Source organism: Homo sapiens, chromosome 21 (assembly GCF_000001405.40).
Source record: "Homo sapiens chromosome 21, GRCh38.p14 Primary Assembly".
NCBI lineage: Eukaryota > Metazoa > Chordata > Mammalia > Primates > Hominidae > Homo > Homo sapiens.
In genome coordinates, this window is record NC_000021.9 from 25,916,532 (window position 1) to 25,930,868 (window position 14,337).

The following is a 14,337-nucleotide window of genomic DNA, read 5'->3' on the forward strand; positions in this document are numbered from 1 at the left end:
CTTTGACTTCCATGGTGAGACTAATCACACCGAAACCACACTTCCACTACATTAGTGGCCCTGATGGATTATCCTTTTATCTGAATTAATTTAATACTTAATTACAACACTCTGATGGCCTGCAATGGGGATTTTCAGAACTTTTAAGCATCTATATTTGCCAACCGCTATATTAAACTAAGAGACTGCTTATTTTCCTCCCAAGACTTATTTTTTCCCCTTCTAAAAGCTATTTGTTATGACCCAAAATTGTAGCGTTTATCTTTGAAGTCAAATATCTTCTATAATATCCAAGCATTTGAACCTTGTAGTTAACAGTGGAAATATTTAACTGAGTTTAGTGGTGATAATATTTAAAATATGGCTTCATCAATAACAGAGGTATTTAATTTCAAATACCAAACACCTAATGAACCCCATCACCTTGCTCTTTTACAAATGCTTCGAGGTGGCCAGGCGTGGTGGCTCACGTCTGTAATCTAGCACTTTGGGAGGCCGAGGTGGGTGGATCACGAGGTCAGGAGTTCAAGAGCAGCCTGGCTAACTTGGTGAAACCCCGTCTCTACTAAAAATACAAAAATTAGCCGTGCATGGTGGCGGACGCCTGTAATCCCACCTACTTGGGAGGCTAAGGCGGGAGAATTGCTTAAACCTGGGAGACAGAGGTTGCAGTGAGCTGAGATCATGCCACTGCACTCCAGCCTAGGCAACCGAGTAAGACTCTGTCTCCAAAAAAAAAAAAAAAAAAAATGCTTTGAGGATGTATACGAGGCATACTTAGAGTAACAGAGGGAAGAAGCCCTACCACTTAGTTATCATTGTAAACACTTTAAAGAAAACAACATCAAAAGATAATAATTTCATCTTCAAACAGCTAAATATTTTGTTTTTTCTTAGATATTCATGATCATTCATTTTGAGAAAAATAGCCTTATAAATAAAAGAACTGCTGAATAGGAAGCAGATGAATTCATCCAATATTCTTTTAATTATTAATCCACTAGCCAAATGTCTTCTAAGAATTTAACGGTCACATCTTACGATTAAAGAAAATAAAATTTATGGGCATTAAATCAATCAGTTATGTGTTACAAGTGTCAGTTATAATTACTGAACAGCTTCTTCCATCCACTGAACACAAGTGGGTTGGAGAAGAACATTTTCTTCATATAAAGGAGGTGCCACTCAGCCTTTTCCCTGTAAAGTCTGGCTGTTAAAGCTCTGATCTGAATCTATCCATCTGACAAAGGTCTAATATCCAGAATCTACAAGGAACTTAAACAAATTTACCAGAAAAAAAAGAAAAACAACCCCATCAAAAAGTGGGCAAAGGATATGAACAGACACTTCTCAAAACAAGACATGTATGTGGCCAACAAACATATGAAAAAAAAAAAAAAAGCTCATCATCACTGGTCATTAGAGAAATGCAAATCAAAACCACAATGAGATACCATCTCACACCAGTTGGGATGGTGATCATTAAAAAGTCTGGCAACAACAGATGCTGGCGAGGATGCGGAGAAATAGGCACGCTTTTACACTGTTGGTGAGAGTGTTAGTTCAACCGTTGTGGAAGACAGTGAGGAGATTCTGCAAGGATATAGAACTAGAAATACCATTTGACCCAGCAATCCCATTACTGGGAATATACCCAAAGGATTATAAATCATTCTACTGTAAAGACACATGCACACATATGTTTACTGTAGCACTATTTACAATAGCAAAGACTTGGAACCAACCAAAATGTCCATCAACGATAGACTGGATAAAGAAAATGTGGCACATATACACCATGGAATACTATGCAGCCATAAAAAAGGATGAGTTCGGGAGGTGGGAGCCAAGATGGCCGAATAGGAACAGCTCCGGTCTACAGCTCCCAGCGTGAGCGACGCAGAAGACGGGTGATTTCCGCATTTCCATCTGAGATACCGGGTTCATCTCACTAGGGAGTGCCAGACAGTGGGCGCAGGCCAGTGGGTGCGTGCACCGTGCGCGAGCCGAAGCAGGGCGAGGCATTGCCTCACCTGGGAAGCGCAAGGGGTCAGGGAGTTCCCTTTCTGAGTCAAAGAAAGGGGTGACAGACGCACCTGGAAAATCGGGTCACTCCCACCCGAATATTGCGCTTTTCAGACCGGCTTAAGAAACGGCGCACCACGAGACTATATCCCACACCTGGCTCGGAGGGTCCTACGCCCACGGAATCGCGCTGATTGCTAGCACAGCAGTCTGAGATCAAACTGCAAGGCGGCAGCGAGGCTGGGGGAGGGGAGCCCGCCATTGCCCAGGCTTGCTTAGGTAAACAAAGCAGCCGGGAAGCTCGAACTGGGTGGAGCCCACCACAGCTCAAGGAGGCCTGCTTGCCTCTGTAGGCTCCACCTCTGGGGGCAGGGCACAGACAAACAAAAAGACAGCAGTAACCTCTGCAGACTTAAATGTCCCTGTCTGACAGCTTTGAAGAGAGCAGTGGTTCTCCCAGCACGCAGCTGGAGATCTGAGAACGGCAGACTGCCTCCTCAAGTGGTCCCTGACCCCTGACCCCCGAGCAGCCTAACTGGGAGGCACCCCCAGCAGGGGCACACTGACACCTCACACTGCAGGGTATTCCAACAGACCTGCAGCTGAGGGTCCTGTCTGTTAGAAGGAAAACTAACAAACAGAAAGGACATCCACACCGAAAACCCATCTGTACATCACCATCATCAAAGACCAAAAGTAGATAAAACCACAAAGATGGGGAAAAAACAGAACAGAAAAACTGGAAACTCTAAAACGCAGAGTGCCTCTCCTCCTCCAAAGAACGCAGTTCCTCACCAGCAACGGAACAAAGCTGGATGGAGAATGATTTTGACGAGCTGAGAGAAGAAGGCTTCAGACGATCAAATTACTCTGAGCTACGGGAGGACATTCAAACCAAAGGCAAAGAAGTTGAAAACTTTGAAAAAAATTTAGAAGAATGTATAACTAGAATAACCAATACAGAGAAGTGCTTAAAGGAGCTGATGGAGCTGAAAACCAAGGCTCGAGAACTACGTGAAGAATGCAGAAGCCTCAGGAGCCGATGCGATCAACTGGAAGAAAGGGTATCAGCAATGGAAGATGAAATGAATGAAATGAAGCGAGAAGGGAAGTTTAGAGAAAAACGAATAAAAAGAAATGAGCAAAGCCTCCAAGAAATATGGGACTATGTGAAAAGACCAAATCTACGTCTGATTGGTGTACCTGAAAGTGATGCGGAGAATGGAACCAAGTTGGAAAACACTCTGCAGGATATTATCCAGGAGAACTTCCCCAATCTAGCAAGGCAGGCCAACGTTCAGATTCAGGAAATACAGAGAACGCCACAAAGATACTCCTCGAGAAGAGCAACTCCAAGACACGTAATTGTCAGATTCACCAAAGTTGAAATGAAGGAAAAAATGTTAAGGGCAGCCAGAGAGAAAGGTCGGGTTACCCTCAAAGGGAAGCCCATCAGACTAACAGCGGATCTCTCGGCAGAAACCCTACAAGCCAGAAGAGAGTGGGGGCCAATATTCAACATTCTTAAAGAAAAGAATTTTCAACCCAGAATTTCATATCCAGCCAAACTAAGCTTCATAAGTGAAGGAGAAATAAAATACTTTACAGACAAGCAAATGCTGAGAGATTTTGTCACCACCAGGCCTGCCCTAAAAGAGCTCCTGAAGGAAGCACTAAACATGCAAAGGAACAACCGGTACCAGCCGCTGCAAAATCATGCCAAAATGTAAAGACCATCAAGACTAGGAAGAAACTGCATCAACTAATGAGCAAAATCACCAGCTAACATCATAATGACAGGATCAAATTCACACATAACAGTATTAACTTTAAATGTAAATGGACTAAATTCTGCAATTAAAAGACACAGACTGGCAAGTTGGATAAAGAGTCAAGACCCATCAGTGTGCTGTATTCAGGAAACCCATCTCATGTGCAGAGACACACACAGGCTCAAAATAAAAGGATGGAGGAAGATCTACCAAGCAAATGGAAAACAAAAAAAGGCAGGGGTTGCAATCCTAGTCTCTGATAAAACAGACGTTAAACCAACAAAGATCAAAAGAGACAAAGAAGGCCATTACATAATGGTAAAGGGATCAATTCAACAAGAGGAGCTAACTATCCTAAACATATATGCACCCAATACAGGAGCACCCAGATTCATAAAGCAAGTCCTGAGTGACCTACAAAGAGACTTAGACTCCCACACATTAATAATGGGAGACTTTAACACCCCACTGTCAACATTAGACAGATCAACGAGACAGAAAGTCAACAAGGATACCCAGGAATTGAACTCAGCTCTGCACCAAGCGGACCTAATAGACATCTACAGAACTCTCCACCCCAAATCAACAGAATATACATTTTTTTCAGCACCACACCACACCTATTCCAAAATTGACCACATAGTTGGAAGTAAAACTCTCCTCAGCAAATGTAAAAGAACAGAAATTATAACAAACTATCTCTCCGACCACAGTGCAATCAAACTAGAACTCAGGATTAATAATCTCACTCAAAGCCGCTCAACTACATGGAAACTGAACAACCTGCTCCTGAATGACTACTGGGTACATAACGAAATGAAGGCAGAAATAAAGATGTTCTTTGAAACCAACGAGAACAAAGACACAACATACCAGAATCTCTGGGACGCATTCAAAGCAGTGTGTAGAGGGAAATTTATAGCACTAAATGCCCACAAGAGAAAGCAGGAAAGATCCAAAATTGACACCCTAACATCACAATTAAAAGAACTAGAAAAGCAAGAGCAAACACATTCAAAAGCTAGCAGAAGGCAAGAAATAACTAAAATCAGAGCAGAACTGAAGGAAATAGAGACACAAAAAACCCTTCAAAAAAATCAATGAATCCAGGAGCTGGTTTTTTGAAAGGATCAACAAAATTGATAGACCGCTAGCAAGACTAATAAAGAAAAAGAGGAGAATCAAATAGACACGATAAAAAATGATAAAGGGGATATCACCACCGATCCCACAGAAATACAAACTACCATCAGAGAATACTACAAAAACCTCTACACAAATAAACTAGAAAATCTAGAAGAAATGGATACATTCCTCGACACATACACTCTCCCAAGACTAAACCAGGAAGAAGTTGAATCTCTGAATAGACCAATAACAGGAGCTGAAATTGTGGCAATAATCAATAGTTTACCAACCAAAAAGAGTCCAGGACCAGATGGTTCACAGCCGAATTCTACCAGAGGTACAAGGAGGAACTGGTACCATTCCTTCTGAAACTATTCCAATCAATAGAAAAAGAGGGAATCCTCCCTAACTCATTTTATGAGGCCAGCATCATTCTGATACCAAAGCCGGGCAGAGACACAACCAAAAAAAGAGAATTTTAGACCAATATCCTTGATGAACATTGATGCAAAAATCCTCAATAAAATACTGGCAAACCGAATCCAGCAGCACATCAAAAAGCTTATCCACCATGATCAAGTGGGCTTCATCCCTGGGATGCAAGGCTTGGTTCAATATACGCAAATCAATAAAGGTAATCCAGCATATAAACAGAGCCAAAGACAAAAACCACATGATTATCTCAATAGATGCAGAAAAAGCCTTTGACAAAATTCAACAACCCTTCATGCTAAAAACTCTCAATAAATTAGGTATTGATGGGACGTATTTCAAAATAATAAGAGCTATCTATGACAAACCCACAGCCAATATCATACTGAATGGGCAAAAACTGGAAGCATTCCCTTTGAAAACTGGCACAAGACAGGGATGCCCTCTCTCACCGCTCCTATTCAACATAGTGTTGGAAGTTCTGGCCAGGGCAATCAGGCAGGAGAAGGAAATAAAAGGTATTCAATTAGGAAAAGAGGAAGTCAAATTGTCCCTGTTTGCAGACGACATGATTGTTTATCTAGAAAACCCCATTGTCTCAGCCCAAAATCTCCTTAAGCTGATACGCAACTTCAGCAAAGTCTCAGGATACAAAATCAATGTACAAAAATCACAAGCATTCTTATACACCAACAACAGACAAACAGAGAGCCAAATCATGAGTGAACTCCCATTCACAATTGCTTCAAAGAGAATAAAATACCTAGGAATCCAACTTACAAGGGATGTGAAGGACCTCTTAAAGGAGAACTACAAACCAACTGCTCAAGGAAATAAAAGAGGACACAAACAAATGGAAGAACATTCCATGCTCATGGGTAGGAAGAATCAATATCGTGAAAATGGCCATACTGCCCAAGGTAATTTACAGATTCAATGCCATCCCCATCAAGCTACCAATGACTTTCTTCACAGAATTGGAAAAAACTACTTTAAAGTTCATATGGAACCAAAAAAGAGCCCGCATCGCCAAGTCAATCCTAAGCCAAAAGAACGAAGCTGGAGGCATCACACTACCTGACTTCAAACTATACTACAAGGCTACAGTAACCGAAACAGCATGGTACTGGTACCAAAACAGAGATATAGATCAATGGAACAGAACAGAGCCCTCAGAAATAACGCCGCATACCTACAACTATCTGATCTTTGACAAACCTGAGAAAAACAAGCAATGGGGAAAGGATTCCCTATTTAATAAATGGTGCTGGGAAAACTGGCTAGCCATATGTAGAAAGCTGAAACTGGATCCCTTCCTTACACCTTATACAAAAATCAATTCAAGATGGATTAAAGATTTAAACGTTAGACCTAAAACCATAAAAACCCTAGAAGAAAACCTAGGCATTACCATTCAGGACATAGGCGTGGGCAAGGACTTCACGTCCAAAACACCAAAAGCAATGGCAACAAAAGCCAAAATGGACAAATGGGATCTAATTAAACTAAAGAGCTTCTGCACAGCAAAAGAAACTACCATCAGAGTGAACAGGCAACCTACAACATGGGAGAAAATTTTCGCAACCTACTCATCTGACAAAGGGCTAATATCCAGAATCTACAATGAACTCAAACAAATTTACAAGAAAAAAACAAACAACCCCATCAAAAAGTGGGCAAAGGACATGAACAGACACTTCTCAAAAGAAGACATTTATGCAGCCAAAAAACACATGAAAAAATGCTCACCATCACTGGCCATCAGAGAAATGCAAATCAAAACCACTATGAGATATCATCTCACACCAGTTAGAATGGCGATCATTAAAAAGTCAGGAAACAACAGGTGCTGGAGAGGATGTGGAGAAATAGGAACACTTTTACACTGTTGGTGGGACTGTAAACTAGTTCAACCATTGTGGAAGTCAGTGTCGCAATTCCTCAGGGATCTAGAACTAGAAATACCATTTGACCCAGCCATCCCATTACTGGGTATATACCCAAAGGACTATAAATCATGCTGCTATAAAGACACATGCACACGTATGTTTATTGCGGCATTATTCACAATAGCAAAGACTTGGAACCAACCCAAATGTCCAACAATGATAGACTGGATTAAGAAAATGTGGCACATATACACCATGGAATACTATGCAGCCATAAAAAATGATGAGTTCATGTCCTTTGTAGGGACATGGATGAAACTGGAAACCATCATTCTCAGTAAACTATCGCAAGAACAAAAAACCAAACACCGCATATTCTCACTCATAGGTGGGAATTGAACAATGGAGATCACATGGACACAGGAAGGGGAATATCACACTCTGGGGACTGTGGTGGGGTGGGGGGAGGGGGGAGGGATAGCATTGGGAGATATACCTAATGCTAGATGACGAGTTAGTGGGTGCAGCGCCAGCATGGCACATGTATACATATGTAACTAAGCTGCACAATGTCACATGTACCCTAAAACTTAAAGTATAATAAAAAAAAAAAAAGATTTGAATTTGCAAATACAAAAAAAAAAAAAAAAGGAAAAAAAAAAAGGTTGAGTTCATGTCCTTTGCAGGGCCATGGATGAAGCTGGAGGCCATCATCCTCAGCAAACTAACATAGGACCAGAAACCCAAACACTCATGTTCTCACTCATAAGTGGGAGCTGAACAATGAGAACACATGGACACAGGGAGGGGGACATCATACACCAGGGCCTGTCCAGGGGTGGGGTGAAAGGGGAGGGAGAGCATTAGGACAAATACCTAATGCATGCGGAGTTAAAACCTAGATGACGGGTTGATGGGTGCAGCAAACCACCAAGGCACATGTATACCTATGTAACAAACCTGCATGCTCAGCACATGTATCCCAGAACTTAAAGTAAACAAAGAAAAAAAAAAAAAGCTCTGATTTGGACACCAGTGAGAATATGAAGTCCCTCGGCTTGCTGGATTTTCTTCTGTCTAGGATCGAACCTCCACTGCTATTACTATTTTCTTTCCTTTTTGATTCTTTTGGATCCCATGGAAAAATATTTATCTGCAACTTCTCCACAAAATGGAAATTTGTTTTTAATCTTATCTAACAGGAGATTCGCATATGACCAATTCTTATCTTTTAAATAAAAATTTACTTATGTGCCTGCCTGAAAGGACTGAAGATCATACCTCTACGCTCTCTTCCATGTCCTTTCTTCTCTCTCCCCTGACACAGCTGCATTGGAAGTAGCTGTAAATGGGATGGACTAATTTTCCCTACCCAGGAGGCCCACTGTAAATCAAGCGGTCACCCACTTCCAGCTAGGCATTTTGCCACACCAGGGCTATGAGAAACAGATTTAATTTTCCAATCAGCAGTTCTGTGCATGTCTGATTCTTGGCTCAACATACAACTGCTATGCTGTTTATTATACTTCATCTCTCCATGGCCTCTGAAACTCCCCAAGGCTCGGGTTCGTCATCCGCAAAATCGTGGGAGGCTGGTTCCATGGTTCTTGCAGTCCCTTCGCTTTGAATCCTTTTGTCTGTACTCTTGCTACATGGGTGTTCTCTGGGAGTTTGTTAGACATGCAGAACCTCAGGTCCCACCCAGATCCAGGGAATCAGAATCTGCATGTTAATGTGATCCCCAGGTGACTCTCATGCATGTTACCATCTGAGAAGACCTACCCTCCACCACACTGACCACAGCCACGAGCTGTACCAAGACACCACCACACAACAGCCTCGGTTATCCCTTCATGAAAGAAAAACAAACATAATGGCTGGGCGTGGTGGCTCACGCCTGTAACCCCAGCACTTTGGGAGGCCGAGGTGGGTGGTTCACTTGAGGTCAGGAGTTCAAGACCAGCCTGGCCAACATGGTGAAACCCGTCTCTACTAAAAAAATACAAAAATTAGCCAGGCACGGTGGTGTGTGCCTGTAATCCCCATTATTCAGGAGGCTGAGGCAGGAGAATTGCTTGAACCCGGGAGGTGGAGGCTGCAGTGAGCCGAGATTGTGCCAACTGCACGCCATCCTGGGCAACAGAGCAAGGCTCTGTCTCACAAGCCAAAACCAAAAACAAACAACAAACAAAAAAACAATTCTCAAAAACAAAGCAAACAAAGCAAGGCATGAGATGAGTGTGAGCCAAGAAACAATACTGCCAGGGGAATATTGCCAAAACACCAGAGTCATGCCTTGAAGTTTCTTATCATCAGGGTCACATTTCTGAACCAGAAAGCCACAGGAAAGGAAAGACTGGTCACAGACTTCCTTCTTCCCTGGACCATTTGTTACGGGAAGTTCTCAGGAAACAGGTCAGTAAGTGTAGAGGGCATCACAGGACAAACTTCATTGCTGGGTTTCCCAGAAAAGAGCAGCTCTCCCCTACTGAAGACACTTTTAGCAGACGGGCCTTCACTAGTGAGTAAATATACTAAAGAAGCATGGACTTACTTGTAGGTCGGTGGAGCAGCTGATTTGGGAGAGAACCCATGAGATCTTTAAGGACGGTAGGGATGTTCTGATTAGCATATATGCTACAGCCATCTGCGATGCCAAAGCCATACTGTGATGGGACTATGCCAGTTATGACACCTTCATAACCATGAGAACTGCACTCATGGCCTTTTCATACCCATCTGCTGATTTGATAACCACAATAATCTTCCTTAGTGGGATCACTACTCCCACTGACAGTTGAACAAACTGACATCCATCCTGAGAAGTATACTTAAAACTAGCAAGTGGCAGAACTGAAATCTGAACCCAAGTATCCCAATTCCTAATGCAACCTTCTCACTGTTCCATGAAAAGTTCCATTTTATAGAGGACATGGCTATATTACTTGGATTAGAAACTAATATTAAAGAAGCATATCACGCCTGTAATCCCAGCACTTTGGAATCATGAGGTCAGGAGATCGAGAGCATCCTGGCTAACATGGTGAAACCCCATCTTTACTGAAAATACAAAAAAAATTAGCCAGATGTGGTGGTGGCACTGTAGTCCCAGCTACTCGGGAGGCTGAGGCAGGAGAATGGTGTGAACCCCGGAGGCGGAGCTTGCAGTGAGCCGAGATCGCGCCACTGCACTCCAGTCTGGGCAACAGAGTGAGACTCCGTCTCAAAAAAAAAAAAAAAAAAAAAAAAAAGGAAGCATAAACCCATCTATCATCACAAGCACCCTCTTTTTCATACATTTCAAATTTTTGATAGGTTTGAAAAAGAATGAATTCGACGGTATCTTTTAGAAGCCAGGATAAAAGAGATTAAAGCAGTAGTCCAAGGTCACGGAGATTCCTGATGGTGGAGCAGGGCTGAAAAGCTCCCTCTTCTAGCTAAGTGAGGCCTGCCTGTCACTTTGCTTGGACAGCCCATTCTCAATAGCACTTTCCTCCCAGAACACTCTCCCAAGTCTTTAGGTTTCCCTTTCTCAGGATGAATACGATGGCTACGTGAATGGCCAGAAGTTTCACCAACTCTAAGTCAAATTGTAGTGTAGCGACCTAGGCACTTCAATGGTCAAGAGAGATACAGCCCTGTATGACGCGGCCACATTTTCCAACTTGGGGAAGAATTTATACACATATTATCACAAAGTAAATGCTGTACCACAAATCCAGTTTTTATCTTGACCTCCAGAAAATTAGGTCAGTTATTTTTAGCTACACTATCAATCTTGAAAATCTCCCAGAGTTAAAACTCAGACTACATGTCTAAATCGGGGTTTATTTTTGTTTAAAAATAACAGTTTCCTGGCCACACATGTTTAAATGAAGCATGCTTTGTCCCCTTATGGTAACAAACTGCCCTGGAAGGGACACAAACAAAGCTTCACATCATTTGTGAAAATATTCCTTATTGCTAGGGACATTTTCCTGAAATATCACTTGTCTGGCTTAGACTGAGGGTACAGAAGAAGTCCCTTTTCCTTTAAAACACATTTCCTTTTGGCTTTCAAACATCATAGATCAAAGAACTTAGACCTACCAGTGGCATCAGTCAGTAATCAAGATAAAGACCAGCCAGGCTCCCTGGCATCTAAAAGCAGATTGTAGGGCTCCTTTTTCCCGTTTACCTGTAGAACTTGTGCCAATGTGCTGATCTGATTTCCAACTACATTAGGGAGTCTTGGTCCTGCCTGGGTTGTCAGGAACTTAAAGTAGAGACTAAAAAACAACTTTATGGCCAGGCGCGGTGGCTCACGCCTGTAATCCCAGCATTTTGGGAGGCTGAGGTGGGCGGTTCACGAGGTCAGGAGATCGACACCATCCTGGCTAACGAGGTGAAATCGCGTCTCTACTAAAAATACAAAAATTAGCCGGGCATGGTGCAGGCGCCTGTAGTCCCAGCTACTCAGGAGGCTGAGGCAGGAGAATGGTGTGAACCTGGGAGGCGGAGCTTGCAGCGAGCCAAGATTGTGCCACTGCACTCCAGCCTGGGCGACAGAGCGAGACTCCATCTCAAAACAAACAAACAAACAAACAAACAAACAAAAAAACCAAGTTTATATACTACAGAAATAATCTCTGAAAGATGCTGTATTAAGATTACAACACACACACACAAACACACACACACATATCTTCTTGTTTTGAGGAAACGTACAGTGAAGTATTTAGGTGTAAAGGGCCATTATGTCTGCAACTTCCTTTAAAAATTTTTAAATATATTTTTAGAACTTTTCTAAGTCTCCAATTATACTAAAACAAAAAGTTTAGTACTGTAGGCATTGTCAGCTTTAATTTATACATATTTGGATGTCTTCCTCTGGTTCGATTTATAGTGAAATTACATCATATGCCCATTAATGTGATACAAACTGCATGTCTTCTACAAACAAAAATAAAAATAGAAGTGAATGTAATTTTGATGCCTTTTTTTTTTTTTTAACTGGAGACAGAGTCTTGCTCTGTCACCAGGTTGGACTGCAGAGGCGTAATCTCGGCTCATGGCAACCTCGGCCTCCTGAGTAGCTGGGATTACAGGCGCGCATCACTACGCCCGGCTAGTTTTTGTATTTTTAGTAGAGACAGGGTTTCACCATGTTGGCCGGGATGGTCTCGATCTTCTAACCTTGTGATCCACCCGCCTCGGCCTCCCAAAGTGCTGGGATTACAGGCATGAGCCACTGCACCCGGCCTGATCCCTCATATCTTTTAAACATAAGTCAATTATTTCATATGGTCTTTAAGCCAAGAAACAGCTATCTCTTCACTCTTCACATGCTGGAGGAAAAACTGGCTGCCTGGCTGGTTGAGAGATGTGTACTTTGATGGCTGACCTGAAGACATTTCAAGGTGATTGTTACGTGAAATTCTCTCTTCAAATCTGACTTGAAGAGTCTAACCTCTGCAGCATATGTTATGACTTCACTGTGAGTCTTCTTTTATTAATAAAATATAATGTTTTTACTAATTATAAGAGTAACATAAATTTCATGCCAAAAATGTAGAAAAAAGGAATGAGAATTCATTTACAATTCTAACAGCAGAAATAATCAAGAGTAGTGGTTTTTTTTTAATGGTTTTATTCTTACAGCATTATTTTCGTCTCTTTATCACTTTACTATGCAATTTTTATGACTATGCTTAAGGAGAGTAAATTTTTCGAAGTTATTGAGGCAATGGAGAGTCTTTGGAATGAGGATAATTAGGCCTGAGGACACAGAGGAATCATGAGGAAGAATTCTCCAGTTTCATTCCTTTTTCTGGGTACAGTTTGTTTCTCCTTCTAAGTAAGTTCCTAGATATAGAATGAATTGGAAAAAATGAAACGTGAGGTTTGCTACGTCTATAACAGTATCACATTTCATTTTTTAAAACTGCCAATGCTTTCAGTGAGGACCAGAAAGTACAGTGAGAAAAAAAAATTCCTCAAATATTAGTTTTCATGCTCTTGCACGCATTTTTATAAAGGCAAAAGTCATTCTGGTGCCTGTATACAATCTAAAGGCATAATCTCCTGGAGCCTTCAGTGCTGGTTTTGGGGTTTTCTGGAGATCAATCCACAGTGTCCCATTTTTTCTGCTGGAGCTCTGAACCCACTAAGAGAGAGCAAGAAGAGATGTAAACCTCTCCTTTGCTTCTGATAAAGCCAAGCCCTTACTAGTCCACATGATGCTTTCTCTGGGGAGTGAGTCACATACAGGAGACATGGCTTGTCCAGCTGCGTGCTGGACTGAATTTCAGCTCCAACCTGAACCTTCCAACAGGACAAGGGAGGGAGGAGAATGGGCCGTAGCAAGACTTGCCCACAGCATTGCCATAACAGCTGTGCAGGCTGTGGGTACAACTCTAAGAGCAGCACTCATTTTGTAGTTTCAGTGAGTCGTGTCCCTAAAGCCGTGTCCTGTGTGACCAGCCCCGTCTCTCAAGCTCATGAGAGAAGTCTATCTGACCGGGATAAGAAGGATCCTGGGGCGGGCCCAAGCAAATGAATGAATTGGGAAACAGTGCCCCTCCCGGCAGCCAGCAAAAACTCCGCCATGCTGTGAAGAAAGTGCATTCTAATTGATTCATGTTGATACATGCTGAATTGATGGAATTTTATACTTCAAAGGATGCAAAGAATTGGTTAGCAAGTCTGATGAGCTCATGGTAGAAAGGATGATTTTCAACATCCATACATAGTGAATTTCATTCAAAGAGCCTAAAAAGACTTATGCAGATAATTATAAGGGGATCAGGCAAGTGTGTAATAGCACAAATTATATATATATATATATGTAAAATCACAACACAGGATTGGGTCCTTTTCCCACAGACAGCACATCATCCTTGTATATATGATAGCTCATTTGAAATGTTTATTTATGCAGATTTTAAAAAGCACACAAACCCTGTAAGCACTTCTGCACAGTGGCCTACTCGTGTTTTCTTTAACACAAAACTTGCTTTCTGGTGAACAATTCTAGATATAGCAATGGTTCTTTCTCCTCTGCTTTAGCTTATTCACAAGCTTCTTTAACTTCTTTAACAACGTGTGGGGAA

The 14,337-nt window shown here is 42.0% G+C and overlaps 1 protein-coding gene across 11 annotated transcripts in view, besides 2 other annotated features; it reads right to left on the reverse strand.

Moving 5' to 3' along the window:
- APP (amyloid beta precursor protein) overlaps positions 1–14,337 on the reverse strand; it is a 290,579-nt gene that overhangs the window by 35,982 nt on the left and 240,260 nt on the right. The window lies entirely within an intron of this gene.
- Positions 1,537–2,110: an enhancer, noted in NCBI's record as "H3K27ac-H3K4me1 hESC enhancer chr21:27290380-27290953 (GRCh37/hg19 assembly coordinates)". NCBI's record gives its function as "activates a minimal SCP1, AML or CMV promoter by ChIP-STARR-seq in primed H9 embryonic stem cells {active_cell/tissue: H9 hESC(primed)}" and the evidence as "EXISTENCE:reporter gene assay evidence [ECO:0000049][PMID:30033119]".
- Positions 2,111–2,683: an enhancer, noted in NCBI's record as "H3K27ac-H3K4me1 hESC enhancer chr21:27290954-27291526 (GRCh37/hg19 assembly coordinates)". NCBI's record gives its function as "activates a minimal SCP1, AML or CMV promoter by ChIP-STARR-seq in primed H9 embryonic stem cells {active_cell/tissue: H9 hESC(primed)}" and the evidence as "EXISTENCE:reporter gene assay evidence [ECO:0000049][PMID:30033119]".